This window comes from Homo sapiens, chromosome 11 (genome assembly GCF_000001405.40).
Source record: "Homo sapiens chromosome 11, GRCh38.p14 Primary Assembly".
NCBI classification, from domain to species: domain Eukaryota; kingdom Metazoa; phylum Chordata; class Mammalia; order Primates; family Hominidae; genus Homo; species Homo sapiens.
The window spans coordinates 48,302,155-48,328,947 of record NC_000011.10 but is presented as its reverse complement, the minus strand read 5'-3'; the positions used below and the strand labels follow the sequence as shown (position 1 = coordinate 48,328,947).

General features: G+C 39.0%; 2 protein-coding genes across 2 annotated transcripts; both read right to left on the bottom strand.

The window, feature by feature from the left end:
• Nucleotides 1–2,992: 2,992 nt before the first annotated feature.
• On the bottom strand, nucleotides 2,993–4,028 carry OR4C3 (olfactory receptor family 4 subfamily C member 3). The gene has a single exon (NM_001004702.2). It carries the CDS (start codon nucleotides 3,924–3,926, stop codon nucleotides 3,018–3,020), a length of 909 nt encoding a protein of 302 aa, NP_001004702.2. The 5' UTR covers nucleotides 3,927–4,028; the 3' UTR covers nucleotides 2,993–3,017.
• Nucleotides 4,029–21,795: 17,767 nt separating this feature from the next.
• On the bottom strand, nucleotides 21,796–22,725 carry OR4S1 (olfactory receptor family 4 subfamily S member 1). Its single transcript, NM_001004725.1, has one exon. It carries the CDS (start codon nucleotides 22,723–22,725, stop codon nucleotides 21,796–21,798), a length of 930 nt encoding a protein of 309 aa, NP_001004725.1.
• Nucleotides 22,726–26,793: the final 4,068 nt, after the last annotated feature.

Here is a 26,793-nt window from a genome sequence, read left to right as displayed (position 1 = left end):
AAGATTTCATGGACATTTATTAGTTCCCAAAATTAATACTTTTATAATTTCTTATGCCTGTCTTTACTGCAGTCTCTGAACATAAATGGTGAAGATTTCATGGACATTTATCACTTCCCCAATCAATACTCTTATAATTTCCTATGCCTGTCTTTACTTTAATCTCTTAATCCCATCATCTTCATAAGGTGAGGATGTATGTCGCCTCAGGACCCTGTGATGATTGCGTTAACTGTATAAATTGTTTGTGAAACATGTGTTTGAACAATATGAAATCTGATTGTACAACATGGGTGTTTGAACAATATGAAATCAGGACACCCTGAAAAAGAACAGAATAACAGCGATTTTCAGGGAACAAGGAAAGATAACCATAAGGTCTGACTGCCTGTGGGGTCAGGCAGAATAAAGCCATATTTTTCTTATTGCAGGGAGCCTATAAATGGATGTGTGAGTAGGAGAAATATCACTGAATTCTTTTCCCAGCAAAGAATATTAATAATTGATAACCCTGGGGAAGGCCAGGTGTAGGCCTATAGATGACCACTCTGGGAGTGTCTGTCTTATGCGGTTAAGATAAGAGATGAAATATGCCCCGGTCTCCTGCAGTGCCCTCAGGCTTACTAGGATTAGGAAATTCCAGCCTGGTGAATTCTAGTCAGACCAGTTGTCTGCTCTCAAACCCTGTTTCCTGTTAAGATGTTTATCAAGACAATGTGGGCCCAGTGGGACATGGACCCTCATCAGTAATTCTAATTTCACCCTTGCCTTATGATCTTGCTCTGCCCTTTTGCCTTGTGATCTTTTATTGCCCTTTGAAGCATGTGATCTCTGTGACCCACTCCCTATTCATACACCCCTCCCCTTTTGAAATCCCGAATAAAAACTTGCTGGTTTTGTGGCTTGGGGTCGCCATCACAGTCCTACCAATATGTGATGGCACCCCCAGAGGCCCAGCTGTAAAATTTCTCTCTTTGTACTCTTTCTTTCTCAGACTGGCCAACACTTAGGGAAAATAGAAAAGAACCTATGTTGAAATATTGGGGGCTGGTTCCCCCAATAGAGGTAGACATGATAATATCAAATAAGCATATTGGGAGTTCACCACATTCCAGAAACTGCTTTAAGAACTTTAGAGAGATTAATCTAATTGTCACAATAACACTTTGAGACATGTATTCTCATTATCTTTTATTTCCCCAGCTTTATTGAGGTATATAGGTGACACCTTAAAAAAGAAAGAAGTTCTGTCATTTGCAGCAAGGTATACGGACCTGGAAGACATTATGCTAAGTGAAATAAGTCAGACACAGATAGACAAATACTGCATGACCTCACTTATACTTGTAATCTAAAATATCTTTACTTTTACTTTAAAGACAGGCATCAGAGGTTTCTAGAAATCTCATCATTTTACTCAAGATCATGCCACTAGCAAGCATAGAAAATAAGCTTCAATACTATGCAACCATAAAAAGGAATGAGATCATGTCCTTTGCAGGAACATAGATGGAGCTGGAAGCCATTATCTTCAGCAAACTAAGGCAGGAACAGAAAACCAAACACTGCATGTTCTCACTTATGGGTGGGAGCTGAACAATGAGAACACGTGGACACAGGGAGGGGAACAACACTCCCTAGAGCCTGTCAGGGGAGGGTGGGGAGGGAGAGCATTAGAGAAAAGAGCTAATGTATGCTGGGCTTAATATCTAGGTGATGAGTTGATAGGTGCAGCAAATCACCATGGCACACGTTTACCTATGTAACAAGCCTGCACATCCTGCACATGTACCCTGGAACTTTTAAAAAAATTAAAGAAAGGGCTGGGCACGGTGGCTCATGCCTGTAATCCCAGCACTTTGGGAGGCCAAGGTGAGCAGATCACAAGGTCAGGAGATCGAGACCATCCTGTGAATGGTGAAACCCCATCTCTACTAAAAAATACAAAAAGTTGGCCGGGCACGGTGGTGGGTGCCTGTAGTCCCAGCTACTCGGGAGGCTGAGGCAGGAGAATGGCATGAGCCCAGGAGGCAGAGCTTGCAGTGAGCTGAGATCACACCACTGCACTCCAGCATGGGCGACAGAGCGAGACTCTGTCTCAAAAAAAAAAAAAAGAAAGAAAATAAGATTCAAACTCAGATTGCTCTATCTCCAGAGCCAAACTCCTAACCTCTCTGCTATAGTGTAGCAGCGGTATTGCTGATGTCACACAATGTGACGAGAAGAAATAGAAGCCAGGCCTGGATGCAGAAAAGCCTGCTATATATGGCTAAGTGTTAAGTAACATTTTGCCTCGTGTTTCTACAACTCAATTAATTATCACACAGACTCAAATGATGTCAACATGGATTGCTACTTAAAGATCTGGATGATGGATCAAAAATAACTCATTTTAAGCTTTGGTTTAGTCACTTCAAAAATTGATAATCTTGATTAATTGACCAACTACATCAGTAAACAGAGCTTCCTCATTTCTAAAATAGGAATAATAATCATTCGTACCATGTATATTTCATATAGTTGTTTTATAATCAAATTATGCAATTCAAGTGAAAATACTAAATAAACAATAAAAGTCAGTGAAGGCTGGGCGTGGTGGCTCATGCCTGTAATCCCAGCACTTTGGAAGGCCTCAGTGGGCAGATCACTTGAGGCCAGGAGTTCTAGACCAGCCTGGCCAACATGGAAAAACTCCATCTCTACTAAAAATACAAAAATTAGCTGGGCATGGTGATGGGTGCCTGTAACCTCAGCTACATAGGAGGCTGTAGCACAAGAATCACTTAAACCTGGGAGGCGAAGGTTGCAGTGAGCTGAGATCGTGCCACTGCACTCCAGCCTGGGTGTTGAAGTGAGACTCCGTCTCAAAAAAAAAAAAGTCAGTGAAGATGAAATTATGCTTAAGATGGAATACAACTATACATGATACAAAAAAAGTAAGGCTTGGTTTGTTTCACTTACAAAAATAAAGTCATTTTTATTTCCTGCTTTACCACTCATTTTCCACCTGCAATTTCTTACCATGTAAAGAGCTTTCTCATGGCATTTTTTACCTCTTCATTTCTCAGGGTATAAATGAGTGGATTCAACATAGGTGTCAGAATACCATAAAATAATGCCATATTTTTGTCTATAGGTAAAGTAGAAAATGGATGCACATAAGTAAATATACAGGGCACAAAGAACAAGGCAACAACAATGAAGTGGGCTCCACAGGTGGAGAGGGCTTTGCATCTCCCATCTGCACTGTGGGACCTCAAGGAGTACAGGATGACAATGTAGGAGGCAGCCAGCATGAGGAAGTTCAACAGGCAGATTAAACCACTGTTGGCAACCACCAGCAGACCAATGACATACGTATTGGTGCAGGCAACTTCCAGCAAAGGGTACAAGTCACAGGCAAAGTGATTGATCACATTGGGCCCACAGAAGGGCAACCAAAGGACCAGGAGGAGCTGAACCAATGAATGCAGGAAGCCCCCAAGCCAAGCCACCCCTACAAGCATGGCACAGAGATGCCTGGTCATGATGGTAGTATTGTGCAGGGGCTTACAGATGGCCACATAGCGGTCATAAGCCATCACTGTGAGCAGAATGATCTCAACACCTCCCAAAAAATGAGCTCCAAAGAGCTGAGCCATGCAGCACTCATAAGAGATGGTTCTCCCCTCATACAATGAGTCAGCAATGAGTTTAGGAGCCATAGAAGAAGAATAAAAGGTGTCAATAAAGGATAGGTTGGCCAGGAAAAAATACACAGGGGAAGCCAGCGTGGGGCTGGAGGTGATAGTGACCACAATGAGCATGTTGCCACAAACCGTGACCACATAGATCAGCAAAAAGACCACAAAGAGAACTCTCTGTACCTCTGAGTTCTGTGAGAGCCCCAGCATGAAAAATTCTGTGATATTTTGTGGTATGTCCATAGATTCCAAGGTCACTGAGAATGCAGGTGCAGTATTGCCTATAAAGACAAGGAGAAACATAAGTAATAGAACTAATTGCATGGGGGAAAAACATTGCAAGTTTTCCTTTAATATATCCTTTGTTCCTCTTAACCCTCTTCTGTTCCAAAATTCTTATACAAATTTAATCTTCTGACCACAAAATGTCTGTTAACTTTAGCATCACTGGGCACCACATATCTCAGTTATTAGATGAAAATAATAACTTAATTATCTAAATTTGCATTTTTGTGGCTGCTGGGATTGAACATTTATCAGACATTTATTTTCCATTTCAAACTGGAGTAAATCTCTGATCACTTTCAACATAGATTAGATCACACTTGAGAAAACCATGTAGAGTTAAGACCTCCTGAAATCTCCTGAAATCTCTGCATGTATGGTCCATACTTTGAATTAAACTTTCTTCTTGGGGTTTGCAATGAGGTTGGTTACACTTTTTGTTGGTTTTTCCAATGCTAATACAAATTGATATAAAACAAACTAAAGCAGGATTGGAAGAAACTGACTTGGTTGTGGCTAGAAACTTACCAAATTCTCTACTTCTCTACTTTCTCATTTGCTGCATCTGCATACTGTGAATAGCATCATGCCTAGGAAGACAACTTAGCTTTCTCCTCCCCCTTGTTTTGTACATTTTTACATACTTCTGAGTTTTGCTTTCTCTGACCTTGGTGTAATCCTTCTAGTTAAGGACTACTAGTCCCCCTGCAATCTACGGGGAGGACTCAAAGTAAAAAACAAAATTTAAAAAAAGGGGAGTATCAGTGAAAGGTACTAGTAGATGATTATCTGCCTATAACTACATAAGGGAAGCTACAAGGGCGGAGGGAACAGATGCTCTGTCTTAACCAGCTATCAGTTATAACCTTATGTGGCAGAATATTCCTACTCACCCTTTATTCCCCTAATGATACTAAGGAAATGCCTATGAAATAGACCTAATAGTCCAGTAGATAGTTGTGGGGTTTGTTGGAGGGACTTAAAAATTGCTCTTCTGGTCTTAAAATTTACATTTCTCTTATCTGAATTCCCTCCTCAAAACATTCACCCTCAGACATCCCAAAAACTATCAAAAAACTAAAACTCACCAAATCACTGTATTCAGGCAATAAGATATCAGACTCCATATTTATCATAATTGCTTCCTTAGCCCTCCCTGTTTTCCTAACCGACCACCTACTTCTTATTGTCCAACTCCTCTTCCTTACCTGTCTCTAACTCCTGTTTTAACAGTTAACGTTTCCTCCCTGCTATATAAACCCCTAATTTCAGTTGGTTGAGGAGACTGATTTGAGACTAATCTACCTTCCAACTGCAATACCCAATTAAAGCCTTTTTCCCCAGGAATACTCATCTCAGTAATTGGCTTTCTGTGTGGCCAACAGCAGGACCTAGACAAAACCCCTGGCACTTTGGTAACACCTGTGCCTATCTTAAATTTTGAAACTGTCACTAACCCTCTCCACCACCCTATCCTTTTCCTGGAAACATAGGTCTTCTTAAAGTAGTTGAATCCTCCAACTTGCTGCAGATTTAATGCTCAGTATGACAAGAATTAAAGGAGAACCATCAAGTGTCAGAAGAAGAAAGAGGTACCCAGATATATAGAAACACTGGAGAGAAAATTCATATACTGATCATGAAACTGCTACCTTTTTCTCTCTCTACACTTCATTGCAAGAAGGTAAATATAGCTCCTGCAAGTGACAAGTCTGATGGGGACTTTTTGAAGGTAGAACATTATGGCCAAAAACACAGACAACAGTGATGAGAGGAAACACCTACATAGAATTTAGCCTTTGCCAAGCACTATCCAAACACTTACATAGGTCAGCTTGTTTAATCCTCACATCATTCCCATGAAGTAGATTACTGTTTTTATCCTCATTTTCAGAGGAAGAAAGTAAGAAATGCTTAACTAATCAGTGACAGAACTGGGGCTTGTACTGAGGCAGTCTTGCCACAGAGTTTGTGGGCTTCACAGTACCATACTGTCACTTAAACACATCGGGTTTGAATCCCTCCCCTTCTCTGCCATTTTATTGGCTGTGTTACTATGAACAACTTCTTGAGACTCAATGTTCTTATCTGTAAAATGAAGATAAGAGTACAGCAACACCCTGAGGCTGCAGAGAGACATAAAAAGCAATGTATATCAAGCATTTGTACAGTAAACATTCAATACATGGAGTCTCTATGACCATCGTCGTCATCCCGGGCAATAAATTCTTCATATGGCTTAAGGAGACAAAAACTTAAATGTATACATTCAGGACTAAGCAGGTATTAATATGGGTATAGTTTCATTATAAATATGAAAAATGCTCTAATACTGATCCTCATGCAGAACACAGCAGTGGTAGAGAAAATGTAATCAGTGTGAGTGGTATACAATGTAGACAAATAATGGATTTATATGCCCAGAAATGAAAATGATAAGCTGATTCATCTCTGTGATTCAAATTTGTGGGAATGTCAGATAAAGTACTTGTTAAAAATTAGTAAAGAAAGAAAGTCTCCTGTTTGAATTATCCATGAAAAATAAAATTATTTTGTGGAAAATAATGAGAATTCTAGTAAGTTAATTCCATTGTATTTTTATTTGGGTTGCATTTTTCTTGCATTTTATTGTAAAAATACATTATAGAAAACTTACATTGACTGGATCTGGGGACACCAACAGACTAACAGGTCTTCAGATTTTTTTTTCTACATTCGAACATCATGGAATGATGTACCTGGAAGAGTGTTTAAAATGTCATCAAGGCCAACTCCAAGCGTATGATCCTGAATTTCAATAGTTCATGTTTTTAAATTCCTGGAGAGATTCAAATTGCTTTTTACATTGAGGCAAAGCACAGGCTAGGAAGTTGCTATTGATTACAGAAACTCAGCTAAGCTGAGAGTCTCTTAGAATTGTACTAGGTAAAATCCCAAAAGGGGGTCATTTATTTATAAGCAGCTGGGAATTTGTTCCATCATCCATTTCCCTTTTTTTTTTTTTTTTTGTATTTACCCACATATTTACCATTTCTGGTGCTTTTTATTCCTTTGCTTAGGTATTATTTTTGCCTCTGCCTGAAGCGCTTCTTTTAATATTTCTTGAGCAGGTGTGCTGGTGATGAATTCTTTTAGTTTTTGCATATCTGAAAAAGTTTATATTTCATTTTCTTTTTTTCAACTTTTTATTTTGAAATAATGTAGGCTTACAAGAAGATGCAAAAATAGTTGATAGAGTCAATCTCAGGAGCCCTTCACCCAGTTTCCTCCAAGAGTAGCATCTTACTTCCCTTTTATTTGCTGAAGAATCCTATGACATTTCAAACTCTTTTCAATGGCCTCCATGTAAATGGTGGATCTGAGACTCAGAAAAATTAAGTGCAGTTTATCTAAAGTCACATGAGTGATTGGTGACTCAGCTTTGAGACTCAGAAAGATGAAATGCAGTTTATCTAAAGTCACATGAGTAATAGGTGACAGAGACACAGCTGGAACCTGGGTGGCTCATCACCCAGACTGTCCCCTTCCCAATACAGCCACCACCTTCCACTTTTACTCCCCAGGCTTTGACAAGTCAAAAAGCACTGCCACTAAAATTCAAGAGAAAAGCCTCACAGAAGGAATAGCTGACTTGTTAACTCTGCTTTCTGCTAAGAATATTCACCAGCACAGTCTCAGAAAATCTTTCTCCCTCCACCGCAAAGGCTTATTATTTATAAGGTAGAAATGAGAACATAGGGATTATTAGTACTGTATGCTTTCCGCCTCTCCAAGGGAGACAAATTCTCCCTCACAGGATCTCTTGCTGAAGTGGTGTCAGAATGAGCCTTGTTCACAGGTGAGAACAACATTGATGCCATCATTTAATTAGTCCCCTTGAATAGAGTTTTGGTCTCACAAGGAAATAACTTGCATTCTTCCTTCTAAAAGTACCAAATGTCCTTCTAGTCTCTAGGGAGAGTTCACAAATTATCCAGAAGGAAGGAAACTAGGATATTTCAGAACCTGATATTGAAGGGTCAGTGTTTATAAGGAAATCACTGACTGAACAACAACAAAATCAGCAGCACTTATTGAGCATCTCTTGCATTCTAGGCATGGTCCTAGGCCCTCTCACATCCATCTTCTCTTTTGTCTCCCCCCTTCAAAGCAAAGAGAGAAGAATCACTGTCCATTATCCACACCTCTACTATGTAGCATGCTAAAATATCAAGGGAACTACAGTCAGAACAATCTGAATTGGAATTACACTTCCACCATTTTGATCATTCAGTATTTATTACTCAGGCCCTAGCTAATAAAAGACAACACTTTGCTAAATGCCAGGAATATCATGGTGAATATGATGAACCTGGCTCCCAGCAGCATGGAGTTTATATTCTAAAAGGGGCAGTGGCCACCTGCCAACCAAAACAGGAAGAAAAACTAAACAAATAGAATAATTACAAAATCAAATATAAGGAATTGCTGGGTAAATTGTATAAATATTTTTAATGCCGACATTACTGGCCAGGTCCAGGTCCATTCTGCCCACCTACAGTAAATCAATCACTGCAACTCGGGTTTTGTCAAGGAGAAAAGATTTATTTGCAAAGCAAGCAGGCAGGAGGAGCAGCTCTCAAACCTGCCTCCCCAAAGATAAGGCTTAGGGGTATTTATGGGTTAGGGAAGTGGGGTGGTCTAAAGCATGGAGAAAGGTGACTGGCAGTGGGGGAAAATGAAGTAATGGGGTTGCTCTGAGGAAGCATAGTCAGGGTTCAGGGCATTTCATAGGACATATGTACAGAAAATTGTAACGTTAGCCTAATCTGAAGGTGGAGGTGTTTGGCCTCCGATGTCAAAATGACACCTCTCCAGTACTGTGCAGGTCCAATTCAAGGGTCAGTGGTCTCACTGGTTTGAAATGGACAGGAGCTGACCCAAGTTCCTGAAAAACAACTGAAACAACCATTGCTACAGTGACCTATGAATGTTATCTACAAAGTAGGAAACATCTACTAAATTGGAACTCTACCAAGTTTTCTATAAACTCTTGTACTCTTTTCAACTATCCTGGCCTTCAGCTTTATGGAAAAAGGAAAAACAATAACAAAAAGCAAACAACCAAAAGGAAGCAAGGCAGGAAGACCTAATCAAATTAACTTTTCAGTTTCATTGATAAATGTTGAAAATTTCTCTCCAAAAAGGCGGCATTGCTTTACCTTCCTGCCTAAGCCCAACAATCCCACTTTTAGGAATTAATCCAACAGATATAGTCCCACATGTTATACAATAGAATTGTTGAGTAAGAGGGATAGACATGTTTAATACTTATCATATATGCAACAAACTTTGTAACAATTTATGTTTGTAAACATTTGTAACCTTTTACATTTCCGATACCCTTGTCTGTATTGCCACATGCACCCTGCAATTCTCCCACACTAGATGAATTTTATTCTAAGCCTTCACCAGACCTTTCTGAAAGCATCCAGAAAGTCACAAAATAGGGAAGATTTAGTTTGTATAAATTTGTGTCACCAACTTCAAAAGGCACATCAATATTGCTCAGCAATCCTAGTATATTGCTTTAGTCGACACGAGTTCCCAACTCTCAAGAACCATGTACAACCTTTCTCAATTTCTTCAAAATTCCCTTCCCCAACCTGCAATCTCCACTCTACACCTTTAACTCAAAGACTCCCTGTCAGTCTTGACAAAATTTACTTAGAGATACATTGTAATCTGGAACCTACCTTTTTTTTCCCCTCCCTCTCTCCTTCATAGGAGTTACACCTGAATTATTCCTGGTAGCTTCTCCCACCATCCTTCACTAGTTTTTCCCCAATAAATCTCTTGCATATTTATCTTAGTAGCTGCATAGTATTTCCAAATTAGCATCTGCTTCTCAGAGAACCAGGACTGATACAGAATATATAAGGAAATACCTTATAAGATAAACAAAATAAAGACAGACTACCATGTGAGACTTAAACAAGCACTTCAGAAAAGATGGAAAGTAAACATGTAAGAAAGTTGGGAGGTGGTTCACCTCTTAGTTATCTGAAAAAAATATGTAAAACCACAACAAAATACCATGGCAATGCTCTCTGCATGGCTAAAATTAAAGACTGTCAATACCCAGTATTTGCTGTCAATATAGAGGAGTGGGATCACTCATGCCCACTGGTAGAAATGTATATTTGTTTTTTAAGTGTATGTTGGAAAACTATTGGATGTTATCTACTAATGTTGAATATATATATATATATATATATATATGCATGCCATGACTCAGACTCCACTTTTAGGTAGAAATCCAAAACAAAAGTGTGCACTTGTACATTGGAAGACACATCATAAAGAGTGTTAATAAAGCATTATTTGTAACAGCACAAAATTGGTAACAAGCCAAATGTTCATCAATAATAGAATGGATTTAAAAATTGATGGTATATTCATATAACGAGCTAATATGGCAATGAAAATAATGAGTTACAGGCACAGATAACAACATGAACAAATCTTACAAACCCAATGTTGAGTCAAAGACTCCAAATGCAAATGATTACACACTGTATTATTGCTTGATTTAAACTTTAAAAATAAGCAAAACTAAGGGTGTGCACTTAGGTGGTAAATGTATAAAAGTATAAAGAAAAGCAAAGAAGTTTTATCAAAAAAGCCACGTTAGTGTTGGCTTTGAGAGGTATGATAGAGGTGTGACTGGGAAGAGAAATATTGGGTCGAGGAAGGGCTAGCAATCTTCTACTTCTTGACCTGATTTGTGGCTATATTGGTGTTCCATTTCATAATTCAAACATTTTGCCTTGATTTTTTTGCTTTACAAATGATACTATAAACATATATATTTATTTATTTATTTGTACAATGTGATATTTGATATATGTGCATACTGTGAAATGAACAAATGAAGCTAATTAACATATCTATCACATCACCGACTTATTTTTTGTAGTGAGAACGTTTAAAAATCTACTCTCTTAGCGATTTTGAAATATATATTATTAACTATAGTCACCATGTTGTGCAACAGATCTTTAAAACTTATTCCTGTGGCGAATTGAAATTTTGTACTCTTTGATCAACTTCTCCCTTGTCTAGCCACTGTCCCCATCCTCTAGTTACCAAAATTCAACTCTCTACTTCTATGAGTTTGAGTGTGATTATTTAGATTCCACACGTACATGAGATCATGTAGTATTTGTCTTTCTATGCCTGGCTTATTTCATTTAACATAATGTCCTCCATGTTCACCCAAGTCTTTGCAAATGACAGAATTTCCTTCTCTTGTAATGCCATATCATGTTGTATTGTGTATATATACCACATTTCCTTTATCCACTCATTCACTGATAAATACTTAGATTGATTTCATATCTTGGCTATTGTGAATAATGCTGCAATAAACATGGGAGTACAGATATCTCTTCAACATGCTGGCATTATTTCCTTTAAAAACACTACCAGAAGTGGGATTTGGGATCATGCGGTGGTTCTATTTTTTTAGTTTTTTGAGGAAACTCCTTACTATTTCCCTTAATGACCATACTAATTTACATTCCCATAAACAGTGTACTAGGGTTCCCTTTTCTCCATATCCTCACCAACACTTGTTATCTTTCATCTTTTTTATGACAGCCATTGTAACAGGTGTGTGGCAGTATCTCATTGCGGTTTTAATTTACATTTTCCTAAAGATTAAAAATATTGATCATTTTTTCATATACCTATAGGCCATTTGTATGTCTTGTTTTGAGAAATGTCTATTTAGATACTTTGTCCATTTTTTAATCACATCAATTTTTTTGCTATTAAGTTATTAAAGTTCCTAATATATTTTGGATGTAACCAAAATATATTATGATTTGCAAACCATCAGATTATTGTTTGCAAATATTTTCTCCCAATCTGTGAGTTGAATCTCCACCCTAATTGTTTCCTTTCCTGTGCAGAAGCTTTCTAGTTTGATGTAATCCCGTTTGTCTATTTTTTGTTTTGTTGCCCGTGCTTTCAGGATCATATCCAAGAAATCATTGCTCCTCCCATTTTCTTCTAGTTTTACGGTTTCAGCTCTTACATTTAAACCTTTATTCATTTTGAGTTGCTCTTTTTTGTTTATGGTGTGAGAGAAGGGTCCAGTTTCATTCTTCTGCATGTGGATATCCCAGTTTTTCCAACAACATGTATGGAAGAGACTGTCTTGAGATTCTTGTTGGTTGGGGTGGAGCAAAATGGTGAACTAGGTTCCACCAATCATCCCCCTGGCAAGGACACCATTTTAACAGCTACCTACACAAAAAAAGAACGTTCATAGGAACCAAAAATCAGGTGAACACCCACAGTACTTAGTTTCAACTTCATATTGCTAAAAGAGACACAGAAGAGGCAGGAAAAACAGTCTTGTATCACCAACACCACTGTTCCCCCATCCTCTGGCAGGGCAGTGTGGTGCAGAGTGTTTCTGTGCCCTGAGGAGAGGGATAGCCAGTAATTGTAAGGCATTGAACTCAGTCCTCCCCTTGTTATAGCACAGAGCAAAAGCAGACCAAACTCAACTGGCACCCACCCATGGAGGGTGCATTTAAACCAGCCCTAGCCAGAGGGGAGTTGCCAATCCTGGTGGTTGGAACTTGAGTTCCCACAAGCCTAACCACTATGGGCTAAATTGTTCTGGGGCTCCAAATAAACTGGAAAGGCTGACTAGCCACAAGGACTGCAACATTTAAGTGAGTCCCAGTGCTGAACTGAGTCCAGAGACAGTGGACTTGGGGGGTCATATGACCTACTGAGACACTAGCCAGGGTGGCTCTGAGAGTGCTGGCATCACTCCTCCCATAACTCCAGGCTGCACAGCTTGAGGCTCCAAAAGAGATCTCTTCCTACCAGCTGAAAAGAGATGGAAGAGTGGGAATGATTTTGTTTTGCATCTTGGATACCAGCTCAGCCAAGCAGGATAGGGAACCAGTCAGAGGCATGAGGGCCCTTTCCAGGCCTAGCCCTTGGACATTTCTAGACATACTCTTGGTCAGAAGAAAACCTGCTGCCTTGAAAGGAATGACCCAATCCTTATAGTGTTCATCACCTGCTAACTGAAGAGCCCTTGGGCCCTGAATAACTATCAGTAATACAAAGGTAGTACATCAAGGGCCTTGGCTGAGACACTGAGACTAGCTGGTCTCAAGTGAGACTCAGCATATTCCTAAAGTGGTGGCTACAGGACAAGACCCTGGGCCATAGGGGAGCCCCCTCTCTGAAGGGTGAGTCCCAGGCCAGGCAGCATTCACCACAAGTTGACTGAAGAGCCCTTGGGCTTTAAGGGAACATTGGCAGCAGTCTGGCTATACTCCCTGTGGGCCAGAGGTGTTGGAGGTCATGGGGTGAGACTCTTCTACCTTTGGAAAGGAAAGGGAAGAGTGGAAGGACTGCATCTTATGGTTTGAGTGTCACGTCAGCCACAGCATAATAGAACACCAAGTGGACTTCTAAGATTTTTGACTCTTGTCTCTGGCTCCTGGACAGCACCTGTGCACCTGCCCAGGGCCTGAGGGAACTCACTACCCTGAAGGAAAGGACATAAGCCCAGCTGGCTTTGCCACCTGCTGATTATAGAGCCCCATGGCTTTCAGCAAACAAAAGTGGTAGCCAGGGAGTGGTTATAGCATGCCTTGGGCAAGACCCAGTGTTGTGCTGGCTTCCAGTCTGACTCAGCACAGTCCCACAAGTGGTGGCAATAGCAGGGTTTGTGTCATTCCACCCGCAGCTCCAGCTGGCTTGGAGCAGAAAGAGACTTCTTCATCTGGGAGAAAGTATGGGAAGAAAACAAGAGTCTCCGCCTAGTAATCCAGAGAATTCCTCTGGATCTTGTTCAAAACCATCAAGGTGGTACCTCAACAAGTCCTCAAGAAACAGAGGATTACTGGGCTTTGGTACCCTGTAAAGCAGGTACAGTTTAGATCACAACACCCAAGTCCTTGTGAATATCTGGAAAGCCTTCCCAAGAAAGATGAGTACAAACAAATCCAGACCCACAAGACTACAATAAATATTTAACTCTTCAGTGCCTAGACATAGACAAATATCTACAAGCATCAAGGGACTCCAGGAAAATATGACCTCACCAAATGAACTAAATAAGGCACCAGGGACCAAACCTGGAGAAACAGAGATACACGACCCTTTATACAGAGACTTCATATTAGCTATGTGGATGAATTCGAGGAAATTCAATATAAAACAGAAAAAGAATTCAGAGTTCTATCAAGTAAGTTTAGCAAAGAGATTGAAGTAATTAAAAAGAATCAAGTAGAAATTCTAGAGTGGAAAAACGCAATTGGCATACTGAAGAATGCATCAGAGTCTTCTAATAGCAGGACTGATCAAGGAGAAGAAAGAATTGTGGAGCTTAAAGAGAGGCTATCTGAAAATATAGTCGGGGAGACAAAAGAAAAAGGGATAAAAAATAATGAAGCACAACTTCAGGATCTAGAAAATAGCCTGAAAAGGGCAAATCTAAGAATCATTTGCCTTAAAGAGGAGGTAGAGAAGGAGACAGGGGTAGGAACTTTACTCGAAGGGATAATAATAGAGAACTTCCGAAACCTAGAGAAAGAGATCAATATCTAAGTGCAAGAAGGTTATAGAACACCAAGCAGATTTATCCTAAAAACTACCACAAGTCATCTTAAATCAAGCTCCCGAAGGTCAAGAATAAAGAAAAGATACTTAAAGCAGCAAGAAACAAAAAACAGATAACATACAATAGAGCTCTAATACACCTGGCAGCATACTTTTCAGTGGAAAATTTACAGGCCAGAAGAGACTGGCATGATATATTTTTTTCTTAAATTTTTATTTTAAGTCCTGGGGTACATGTCCAGGATGTGCAGGTTCATTACATAGGTAAACATGTGCCATGGTGGCTTGCTGCCCAGATCAATCCATTACCCAGGTGTTGAGCCCAGCATCCATTAGCTATTCTTCCTGATGCTCTCCCTCCCACCAGCCCCACCCCCAACAGGCCCCAGCATGTGTTGTTCCCCCACCACTATGTGTCCATGTGTTCTTATCATCCAGTTCCCACTTATAAGTGAGAACATGCAGTGTTTGGTTTTCTGTTCCTGTGTTAGTTTGCTGAGGATAACAGCTTCCAGCTCCATTCATGTGCCTGCAAAGGGCATGATCTTGTTCCTTTTCATGGCTGCATAGTATTCCATGGTGTATATATACCATATTTTCTTTATCCAGTCTATCATTGATAAACATTTATGTTGAGTCCGTGTCTTTGCTATTATGAATTGTGCTGCAGTGAACATAAGTGTACATATACCCTTATAATAGAATGATTAATATTCCTCTGGGTATTTAGCCAGTAACGGGATTTTTGGGTCAAATGGTATTTCTGCCTCTAGAGCTTTGAGGAATCACCACCCTGTCTTCCACAGTAGTTGAACTAATTTACACTCCCACCAACAGTGTAAAAGCATTCCTTTTTCTCTGCAACCTCACCAGCATCTGTTGTTTTTTGACTTTTTAATCATAGCCATTCTGACTGGCATGAAATGGTATCTCCTTGTGATTTTGATTGGAATTTCTCTAATGATCAGTAATGTAGAGCTTTTTTTCATATGTTTGTTAGCCACATAAATTTATTTTTTTGAGAAGTGTCTGTTCATGGCCTTTGCCCACTTTTTAATGGGGTTGTTTGTTTGTTTTTTTCTTGTAAATTTGTTTAAGTTCCTTACAGACTTTGGATATTAGACCTTTGTCAGATGGAGAGATTGCAAAACTGTTCTCCCATTCTGTAGGTTGTCTGTTCACTCTAATGACAGTTTCTTTTGCTCTGCAGAGGCTCTTTAATTTAATTAGATCCCAATTGTCAATTTTTGTCTTTGTTGCAATTGCTTTTTGTGTTTTCATCATAAAGTCTTTGCCCATGCCTATGTCCTGAATGGTATTGCCTAGATTTTCTTCTAGAGTTTTTATAGTTTGGAGTTTTATATTTAAGACTCTAATCCACCTTGAGTTAATTTTTGTATGTGGTGTAAGGGAAGGGTCCAGTTTCAATTTTCTGCATATGGCTAGCCAGTTCTCCCAGCACCACTTATTAAATAGGGAATCCTTTCCCAATGCTTGTTTTTGTCAGGTTTGTCAAAGATCAGATGGTTGCAGCAGTGCAGTCTTATTTCTGGGTTCTCTATTTTTCTCCATTGCAGACCATGTAATTTATAAGCAATAGAAGTTTTTTTGACTCATAGTTCTGGAGGCTGAGAAGTCCAAAAGCATAGTGCCAGCATCTGAAGACATGATGACATGTCTTCAGACATGTCAGACATGAAGACGTGACAGAATGCATTACATGGTGAGGAAGGATGCAAGACGGAGAGAGGAAATTTGGCCAAATTCATCTTTCTTATCAGTAGCCCACTCCTGGAATAACTAACCCACTCCTGGGATAAGGACATTAATCCATTCTTAAATAGACCTAATCCCCCAATCACCTCTTACAGGCCCCACATTTTAGTACTGTTGCAATAGCAATTAAATTTCAATATGAGTTGTAGATGGGGATATTCAAACCATAACAATTTTCAACAGCTACCACCTGCTGCCTTTGGGCCACTGGAGTCCATTTTCCCCATATTAATGGACAAACAAAAGTACCTGGGACTTTCGCCCCACTCCAGCCCCAGAGAAGCCCTTAAATAACGTCTGAATGGTGTGGGCATATGAAAGCTACATCCTTAACTCAAATCAAAACAACTCTTGGCATCATTTACACTCCAGCATTTCCCTGCAAGATAAGGCTAAAGTGATCCTGTGCTGAAAATTACTTGAAACTGCATCCTTGTTTAGATTTCTCCACTACTCTGTCTTGCTTCCAGTATCCCCTTTCCAGTTTATCCTAAGAACATTTCTTTAATAAGTTACTTCCACAGAAATCTATGCCTTTAGATTTTCAAAAGACTTTTTGCCTAGTAACACCTAACCAAATCAAAGGTATCCCATTACTTGTATTTTATGAGATAACTCATATGCATCTTCTCATATGTGCTTCCTTTTCTGTAAATTGCCTATCATATCTTTTGCCTATTATTCTATTGATTTATTTGAATTAAAAAATAGATTTCTAAGAGTTTTGTGTATATTTGGACTAATCCTTTGTCAGTTACGTATCAGTTATAAGATTAACTTGTGGCTTATCTTTTCATTTTATTCTGTGCTAAACACTTTTATTTTCAATGTAGTTAGTTTTAAATTTTCCATTGTTAGTGCTTTTTGTGCTTGTTTAAAAAATATCTTTCTTTTTATGGAGCTGTCATAAATGGGATTAATCCTCCTTTAAAAAAGACTGTAGAGAGCACCCTCACCCCTACCACCATGTGAGGACACAGAAAGAAGACGGCCATCTATAAACCAGGAAGCAGGTCCCCAGCTCACCAGATATCAAAGCTGCCAGTGCTTGAATCTGGGACTTAATTTGGAGTCTCTAGAACTGTGAGAAGTAACTGTTTGTTGTTTGAGCCACCCAGTGTATAACATTTTTCTTATAGCAACCAAAGGGGACTAAGACATAGGGTATACTATGAGTACCCTCAAGATTGGCAAAACTGTTAAAGTGTTTTGACCATGCCATGTGTTGGCAAGAATGTACATCATCAGAATCTCTTATACATTGCTGTAGGGAGTGAATATTGGTACGACCACTTTCAAAAGCAAATTGACATTTTTTCGGTAAAGTTGAAACATTTGCATACCCTTCAACATAGCAATTCAATCCCTAGGTATATGCCCCAGGAAAACTTTTCCACACATACAAGAATGTTCATAACAGCACTCAGATAGCTGAGAAATATGGAAACAACCAAGGTATATTTTAAAAAGAATAGTAAAATAATTATGGCATATTCACCCAATGACATCTTGTGCAATAGTAAAAACGATGAAATACAATTACATTCAACAACAAGGATGAATTTTTGAAATACTATGTTAAGCGAAAAAAGCAAGTCAGAAGACTACAAATGTGTAACACTATTTTTATAAAATTAAAAATAAGAAAAATTAAACAACATATTGGTTAGGTGTATATACACATATGTTAAATCTATTTTCATAAAGTAAGGAAGTCATCAACCAAACGAGAATATTGGTTATCACTGTGAAGGCAAAGAAATAGAATAGAGAAGACACATATGACACAAGCTATTAGGATTGTTCTTAAGTTGATAACAAGTTCATAGATGATTATTAATTATGCTTTATAACATTAATATATAATTTTATTATGTATTACATATTACATATATTAAATAATACATACATTATTTGTATCAAATATGTTTAAGTAATAATATTTTCCAATCTTTTACGAAAGAAATCAGCCATGGGGCGCCTTCTCACCTCTAGCCTACCTTCCTTTTCTGCCTTCACTGTGGACACTTTCACCTTCCAAGAAGGAGAAGTTCATAGTCCCTTCCCAATACCATACCTACCACCACATTCTTTCTCTGCTCTCTCTCCAACCACAGCAGAATAAGTAAATTTATAATAACAATTACATCTTGTTTGTATTTATAACTAAGAAGTCCTCCCGGAAAACTCAGTACTGAAGGGTAAATGTACTGACAGAGTAGCTGAGTGACCAGTCAATGAGCTTCATCTACTAGTAACTTTCAGAATACCTGTAGTAGGAACATTAAAATGGAGTTGTCTCTTAGAGAGGAAGAGTAGTGAAAAACACAATTAAATCTTCTTAATTTGATATTTTTCCCTCTTGTGATAATTATGTCAAGTCCATAAATCTATGGGAACTGTATGCAATATTTTCTTTTTATAAAATCACCTAAAAATAATTCTAAGGAAATATGTGAATAAAATGAGAAAAAAATAAGATTGACCCAGATTTCATGTAGTCTATATTCCTGAACAAAATGGAATCATAGGATATCTGAGCTGAAGGTCCTTAGAGATTCGAACCAATCTCCTTAATTGTATACATCAGGAAATGGGAGCCCTGAGAACTTGGATGGAGGTGGGGATGGCTCTGCAACTGGAACCCTGTTTCCTGACTTTCCATCTAGTGTAATTTCCACTGTATCATACAGCAGTCTCTTCTCTTAATGCCAAGTTCTCATACCTTATGCAGCTCCTCCTGTAGTACTTATCCAGTCTTCTCACTTGTAGCTGAAACTCAGATGACTTTTTTCCCCTGAAGTACATGATCTACTTCCTCCAACCCAATTTCCCCCTCTTCCCTCAACCCAGCATGAAGCAGAAAGAAACATCTGCCATATCAAGCACACCTATGATTTCACACCTTAAAATGGCTCCTGAGTTGGTCAATCTTCTGTAAATAGAAGTCTAGGCAAAGAGTGGGATTCCTGAGTGATTGCTTTCCAGTCACCTCTGATCTGACAAATCCATGATGTAAGTGCTTCAATTTCCTCAAAGAAAAGAGTAGAGGCCAGGCATGGTGGTTCACGCCTGTAATACCACCATTTTGGGAGGCCGAGGCAGGCAGATCACTTGAGGTCAGGAGTTCAGAAACAGCCTGGCCAACATGGTGAAACCCCGTCTCTACTAAAAATACAAAAATTAGCAGGACGTTCGTGGCATGTGCTGCAGTCCCAGCTACTAGGGAGGCTGAGGCATGAGAATTACTTGAGCCTGGGAGGTGGAGGTTGCAGTGAGCTGAGATTGCGCCTTATATACCTGTCTTCATCTTCATGAATATATATATATACATACATGCATGCCTGAATATATATGTAAGACATACATACCACTATCACTCTACTTTAAAATACTGTATGAAAGCAGTAGTGAAAGAGCACTAAACTAGCAATCAGAAGTCTGTGTGTGGCCTATGTACATAGTTTAGCCTGTCTGTATCTCCACTTATCTTTTTTTCTTTTTTTTTGAGATGGAGTCTCACTCTGTCGCCCAGGCTAGAGTGCAGTGGCGCGATCTTGGCTCACTGCAAGCTCCACCTCCCGGGTTCACGCCATTCTCCTGCCTCAGCCTCCCGAGTAGCTGGGACTACAGGCGCCCGCCATCACGCCCGGCTAATTTTTGGTATTTTTAGTAGAGACGGGGTTTCACCGTGTTAGCCAGGATGGCCTCAGTCTCCTGACCTCGTGATCCGCCCGCCTTGGCTTCCCAAAGTGCTGGGATTACAGGCGTGAGCCACTGCGCCCGGCCACTTACCTTTAAACCTGAATAACCATTCATGCATGCTCCCACATTGTTCCAAGGAGTTTTATAAGGGGATTATTTATCCAACACAGATTAAGCTGGTGTATGAAAACTTCTGAGAATATTATGCTTTCAAGGTGTCAACTGCTATTTTATTGCTACTATTTTTTCATAATCAAGATCAACGTTTGCATTTGTGTTTGTTCAGCATCAGATGGTACTAATGAGTCTTCTTTACTACCACCACTCTCACCCAACTCTCATCACATTCCTGATGATTATATCTCATTCATGAAGTTGTTGAAAGGATCAAAAAAGTTAATACAATTAAAATATTTAGAAGAGTGTCTGCAGATTGGAAGAATTCAGTAAGGGTCAGCTTTTACCACACACTGAAATATAAACTCCATGAGAACAAAGAGTTTTGCCTGCTTTCTTTTGTGCTGTACTTCTAGCCCCAGGAATATCACCCAGCAAATGCTAAGTGTTCAATAAACATTTTTGGAGTAAATGAAATAATCAGATAGTTTGGTTACAAGGGCTTTGAGGGAAAGGATAGAGGGGTGAATAGGAAGAGAAAGGGGAATCGAAGATATTATGTTAAAACAGCTAGCAGCCACCATTGAACAACAGACTTTGATTTAGGTCTTTACAAAGTCTTATAGGTCCTCTCACAGCCTTCTGAAGCTGGTATTGTCAATATCTCCTTCTGTAAATGTGGAAATTGAGGCCCAATGAGGTTACATGACCCACGAATGTTTAAGAGATACCTAATCCGGCTCGTTTAATTGCATTCTGTACAAACTTGGCTCCCTCTAGCGGCAAAATGGAGCAAAGCAACAGGGGTTAAAGAGGGCAGCAGTCAGCTGTTCTGCTGGAGAGAGGAATCAGCACCACTGAAAGAAGTGCTGACAACTTGTTCTTCCTGGTTGTTCTCTTCATCATCCCAAGTCATCATCACCATCATTCCTGGTCTTTCAAAAGTTCTTGGTCATTCCTGCTTGGTGTCCATTTAGTCACACTTTATCAAGAGGTCCTGAGGAAAAGCTCTGAAAGCTGACTTAGGGACCTGTGTTCTAGTCCTCACCCTGCTCTGGAGTTAAAGTGTAACTTTTAGTAAATCCCTTGACCTCTCCACATTATTTATTTACTTATTTATTTATTTATCTGCCTGCTGAGAGCATGAAAGGGTAAGAGTAAAGTGGCTCTTTACTCTTAAAAGAAAAGAATGAATTCCATTGAGCACTGTGTTAGCCAACACAAAGGAATTATGTAGTGATTTTATTCATTTATCAATGAGATATCTGGACTTCCAAGACACTCCCTCATTCACAGGCCCTCACACGTTTCCTGAATGAGCTCTTAAATATCGCACTAAAAGCATCCTGGACTGTACTCTCCTTGAGGGAAAGATTATATCTTACTTTTATTTGTATTCTCACTCACTGTAAACATCCAATAAATATTTAATGAATAAAGGATTGAAAGAATATGTGGAATTATTATAACAACAAGAGCTAGGAGGATAATTGCCATTGCAAACATCAGACTGGAAATAAAAAGGCTGTGTTAGATGCTACAAGATGGAAAGTCTCCCAATTTCCTAGCTGGATTGAGATTCTCTGGAATGTCACTTCTCCCCTAAGCTCCTCTTGACCCTAAACAGCTTCCTCATGGCATTTTTCACATCGTTGTTCCTTAGTGTATAGATCAAAGGGTTCAGCAAAGGTGGCATCACAATGTTAAAGAGGATGATAAGTTTGTCAGCAGCCAGGGTGGTGGAGGGACGAATGTACATGAACATGGGGGGCATGAGAACCAAAAGGACAGTGATTACGTGTGAGCCACATGTGGAGACAGCCTTACGCCGGTCCTCAGATGACTGGCTTCTTAGGTTCAGTAAGATGATAACATAGGAAATGATAAGGATAAAAAAGGATGCTAAAGAAATCATACCGCTGTTGGCCACCACGATGAGACCTACCATGTAGGTGTCTGCACAGGCCAACTTGAGCAGGGGATGAACATCACAGAAGAAGTTGTCTATCTCATTGGGCCCACAAAAAGGCAGCTGAACCGTGAGGAGGGTCTGCAGGATGGAATGCAGGAAGCCAGCTAACCAGGAGGCCCCCGCTAGCAGGCCACACTTCCGGCAATCCATGATGGCTGTGTAGTGCAGGGGCCTACAGATGGCCACATAGCGGTCATAGGCCATGGCTGTAAGGAGGAAGATCTCAGTGCCACCAAAGAAGTGGGCAGAAAAGAGCTGGGTCATGCAGCCATTGAAGGAGATGATCTTATGCTCCACAAAAGTGTCAGCAATCATCTTGGGTATGGTAGTGGATGGATAACATATGTCAGCAAAAGACAACTGGCTCAGGAAGAAATACATGGGAGACTTCAGGGTCTTTCTAGCATTGATGGTGATGATGACCAGAAGGTTCCCCAGGACAGTGAGCACATGAAAGAGGAAGAATACCACAAAGCATGTATGCTGCATCTCTCTGCTCTCAAAAAGGCCAAATAAAACAAACTCAGTCACATTGTTCTTGGCACCCATGGATTATCTGCCCTGATGACCGACAAAGTGGCTGGCTGGCTCTGCAAAGACATAAATTATGAGACATAAGAAAGTTTTCTGAGATACCACCAAGATTATGGAGTAAGAAAGATACTAGCCTTCATCCCCATCACAAAAAATACATATATAATATATATAATATATTATTATATATATATATAAATTATATATTATATATAATAATATATATTATATATATATAATATATAATATATATTATAATATATATTATATATATAATATATAATTTATATTATATATAATAATATATATAAATCTATAATATATAAATATATATATCTTAAATATATAATATATAAATATGTATATCTTATATATATATCTCTAGAGCGAGAGAGAGACAGCTATCCACAAACCAAAATAGGTCTGCGAGGGTTCAAGGGCCCATTAAAGAATCTGCAGCAATACAGAGGAGCAAAAACATGGAGAATAGCCGCACACGAAGGATTTCTAGTGATATCTGCATACTTGAGATGCCAGGAGATGGTTAGGAACAAACAGGAAAGGTTGAGGCAATTAGTATCAGCCATGTGGTGGTAGTCATCAAGATCCCTGCTTTGCAGAGAACGCTAGCATTTATGCCACTGAGATAACCAAGAGCCATTCCCACCAGGAAACCCTAGAGAGGGAGACACAACTGTACTGCCTCCACCTGCAAGAAGCAGATGCTATTGAGCTACTTTGGAAAAGGAGCTGCCACCTCCCCAACACCATGCAAACCCCAAACTGCAGCTGCCCCTTGAGAGCTCACACTCAGACCCAGGGTCTGGGACTGCACTGCACCCACCCATGTATCAGACACTGGGCCATCACTAGAGCAAGCTCTGGGCCCTGGAGTCAAGGTCTCTCTGGGCATGCCCACACTTTGGGCACCAGTTCACCCTCCACAGAAAGTTAGTCCCTACCCCAACTCCAGAGCCATTGTAACTCTACATATATCTATGCTCCCATTCTTGGCTCCCTGGCTGCTTCAAAGCATTCACACCTCTAGCACTGTTACCTATGTGGTGGCAGGAGTGTCTTCACCCTAAGCACCAGTGTCATTATCATTCCAGATCCCAGAACCATAGTTCCTTCAGGTGTGCCCATGACCCAAGCCTCAGTTACATGGCTGCACAATAGGTGCCACCCAAAATACACCTGTGCCACCAACATCAAGAGGAAGCACACATACCAGAACCATGTCAAATGGTTCCCTAAGCCACAACTTCCCCAGTGGGAGAAAATTAAATAAGGAAGACCTTAGCAGCCACTACCAGCAACGAGCCTGAAAACCCTTGCTGTCACTGCAAACATCCAAGAATTTGGCCACTGAGGATCCCTCAAATCTGGGTCAACATTGACGTCAGCTAACAGGGCCACACAAAGACTATAAAGCCACATCCCACTGGTGCCAAAACCAATCCATCCCACCCACTCAGTCCATCCCATTATATGCTTGTGTCAGTCTGGGCCACAAGGATTGCAAAGCACCATCATGCCCCATAAGAGAAAATCTTTCCACACTGAAATTAGCCAATGAAATTTGCAAGAGATGACTACTCCACCAAATGTGCAGACATCAATAAGAGGGTAACAAGAAACAATGAAACACCAAGAAATCATACCACCAAAAGAACACAATAATTTCCAAGTTGCTGACCCCAAAGAAATGGAGGTATGTAAACAGGCTGAAAAATAATTCAACATAATTGCTTTTAAAGCTTCATGAAGTAAAGGAAAATACAGAGAAATCATTTTTAAAAAATCAGGAACATAGTAAAAAACCAAAATGAGAAATTTAACACAGATATTGAAAATACATTAAAAATCAAATAAAAAAGAGAGAAGACTTATAAATAAAATGAGAAATGAAAGAAGAGACATTACAACTCATACCACAGAAATATGAAGAATCACAAAAGACTACTATGAACAATTATAGACTTACAAATTGAATAACCCAAAAGAAACAGATAAATTCCTGGCCACATACAATCTAACAAGACTGAATTATGAAGAAATAGAATATATGACCAAACCAATAATGAACAAAGAGAATGAACAAATAATAAAAGTTTTCCATCAAAGAAAATCCCAGGAACGGATTACTACTAAACTCTACCAAACATTTAAAGAACTAATGCCAATCCTTCTCAAACTCTTCCAAAACAAAATGAAGAGGAGGGAATATTTCCAAACTCATTTTATGAGGACAACATTACCCTAATACCAAAGCCACCCTAGGAAACTAATAGAAAAGAAGACTACAGGCCAATATCCCTGATGAACATAGATGCAAAATTCCTTAATAAAATCCTAGCAAACCAAATTCAACAACACATTAAAAGGATAATCTGCTTTGATCAAGTGGGATTTATCTCTGAGATACAAGGATGGTTCAATATATGCAAATACTACATTAAGAGAATTGAGGACCAAAACTATATTATCATCTCAATGGATGAAGAAAAACTGACAAAATTCAACATCATTTTATGATAAAAACTCTCAACAAATTAATTACAGAAAGAATGTAATTCTCAACACAATAAAGACCATATGTGACAAGCCCACAACTAACATCAGATTCAATGGCAAAAAGTTGAAAGCTTTTCCTCTAAGATTGGGAATAAGACAAGAATTTCTACTCTCACCACTTCTATTCAACATCATACTGGAACTCTTACCCTAAGTAATTAAGCAATAAAATGAAGTACAAGTCATCAAAAGTAGAAAGGAAGAAATTAAATTTTCTCTGTTTACAGATGTGTGATACAGAAATCCTAAAGTCTCTCCCCCTAAAAAAGCTGTTAGAACTAATAAACAAATTTAGTAAAGTTGTAATATCCAAAATTACCATTCAAAAGTTAGTAGTATTTCTATACATTAACAATAAACTATCCCAAAAAGTCAGGAAAACAATTCTGTTTAGAATCACTATGAAAAAGATAATAATTGGAATAAATTTAACCAAAAAGTTGGAAGATGTGCACATGGAAAATTATAAAACATTGGTAAAATAAATTGAAGAAGACATTAATAAATGGAAATATGTCCCATGTTCATGGACTGGAAGAATTAACATTGTTAAAATGTTCATAGTGTCAAAATCAATCTACAGGTTCAATTAAATCCCTATCAAAAGTCTAATGACATTTTTCACAAACACAGAAAGAAATCTTAAAATTCATATACAACTTCAAAAGACCCAGAAGACCTAAGTAATTATGAATAACACTGGGAGCAACACACTATGTGATTTCAAAATCTACTACTAATTTGTAGTCATCAAAATAGCATGGTACTGGCACATAAAGACAGACATATGGACCAATGGAACAGAATAGAGAGCCCAGAAATAAATCCACACATTTACAGTCCAATTGATTTTGACAAAAATGCCATAAACACACAATAAGGAAAAGACAATCTCTTCAATAAATGGTGCTGTGAAAACTGGATATCCAAATGCAGAATAATTAAATTAGATTCTCATCTTACACCACATACATAGTTGGAAGTAAAGCTCTCCTCTGCAAATGTAAAAGAAGAGAAATTATAACAAACTGTCTCTCAGACCACAGTGCAATCAAACTAGAACTCAGGATTAAGAAATTCACTCAAAACCTCTCAACTACATGGAAACTGAAAAACCTGCTCCTGAATTGCTACGGGGTACATAACGAAATGAAGGCAGAAATAAAGATGTTCTTTGAAACCAACGAGAACAAAGACACAACATACCAGAATCTCTGGGACACATTCAAAGCAGTGTGTAGAGGGAAATTTATAGCACTAAATGCCCACAAGAGAAAGCAGGAAAGATCCAAAATTGACACCCTAACATCACAATTAAAAGAACTAGAGAAGCAAGAGCAAACACATTCAAAAGCTAGCAGAAGGCAAGAAATAACTAAAATCAGAGCAGAACTGAAGGAAATAGAGACACAAAAAAACCCTTCAAAAAATTAATGAATCCAGGAGCTGGTTTCTTGAAAGGATCAACAAAATTGATAGACCACTAGCAAGTCTATCAAAGAAAAA

What these genes read in the sequence shown, in the direction of transcription:
- OR4C3 (NM_001004702.2), bottom strand. Translation starts at nt 3,926, where the DNA reads ATGGACATACCACAAAATATCACAGAATTTTTCATGCTGGGGCTCTCA.
- OR4S1 (NM_001004725.1), bottom strand. Translation starts at nt 22,725, where the DNA reads ATGGGTGCCAAGAACAATGTGACTGAGTTTGTTTTATTTGGCCTTTTT.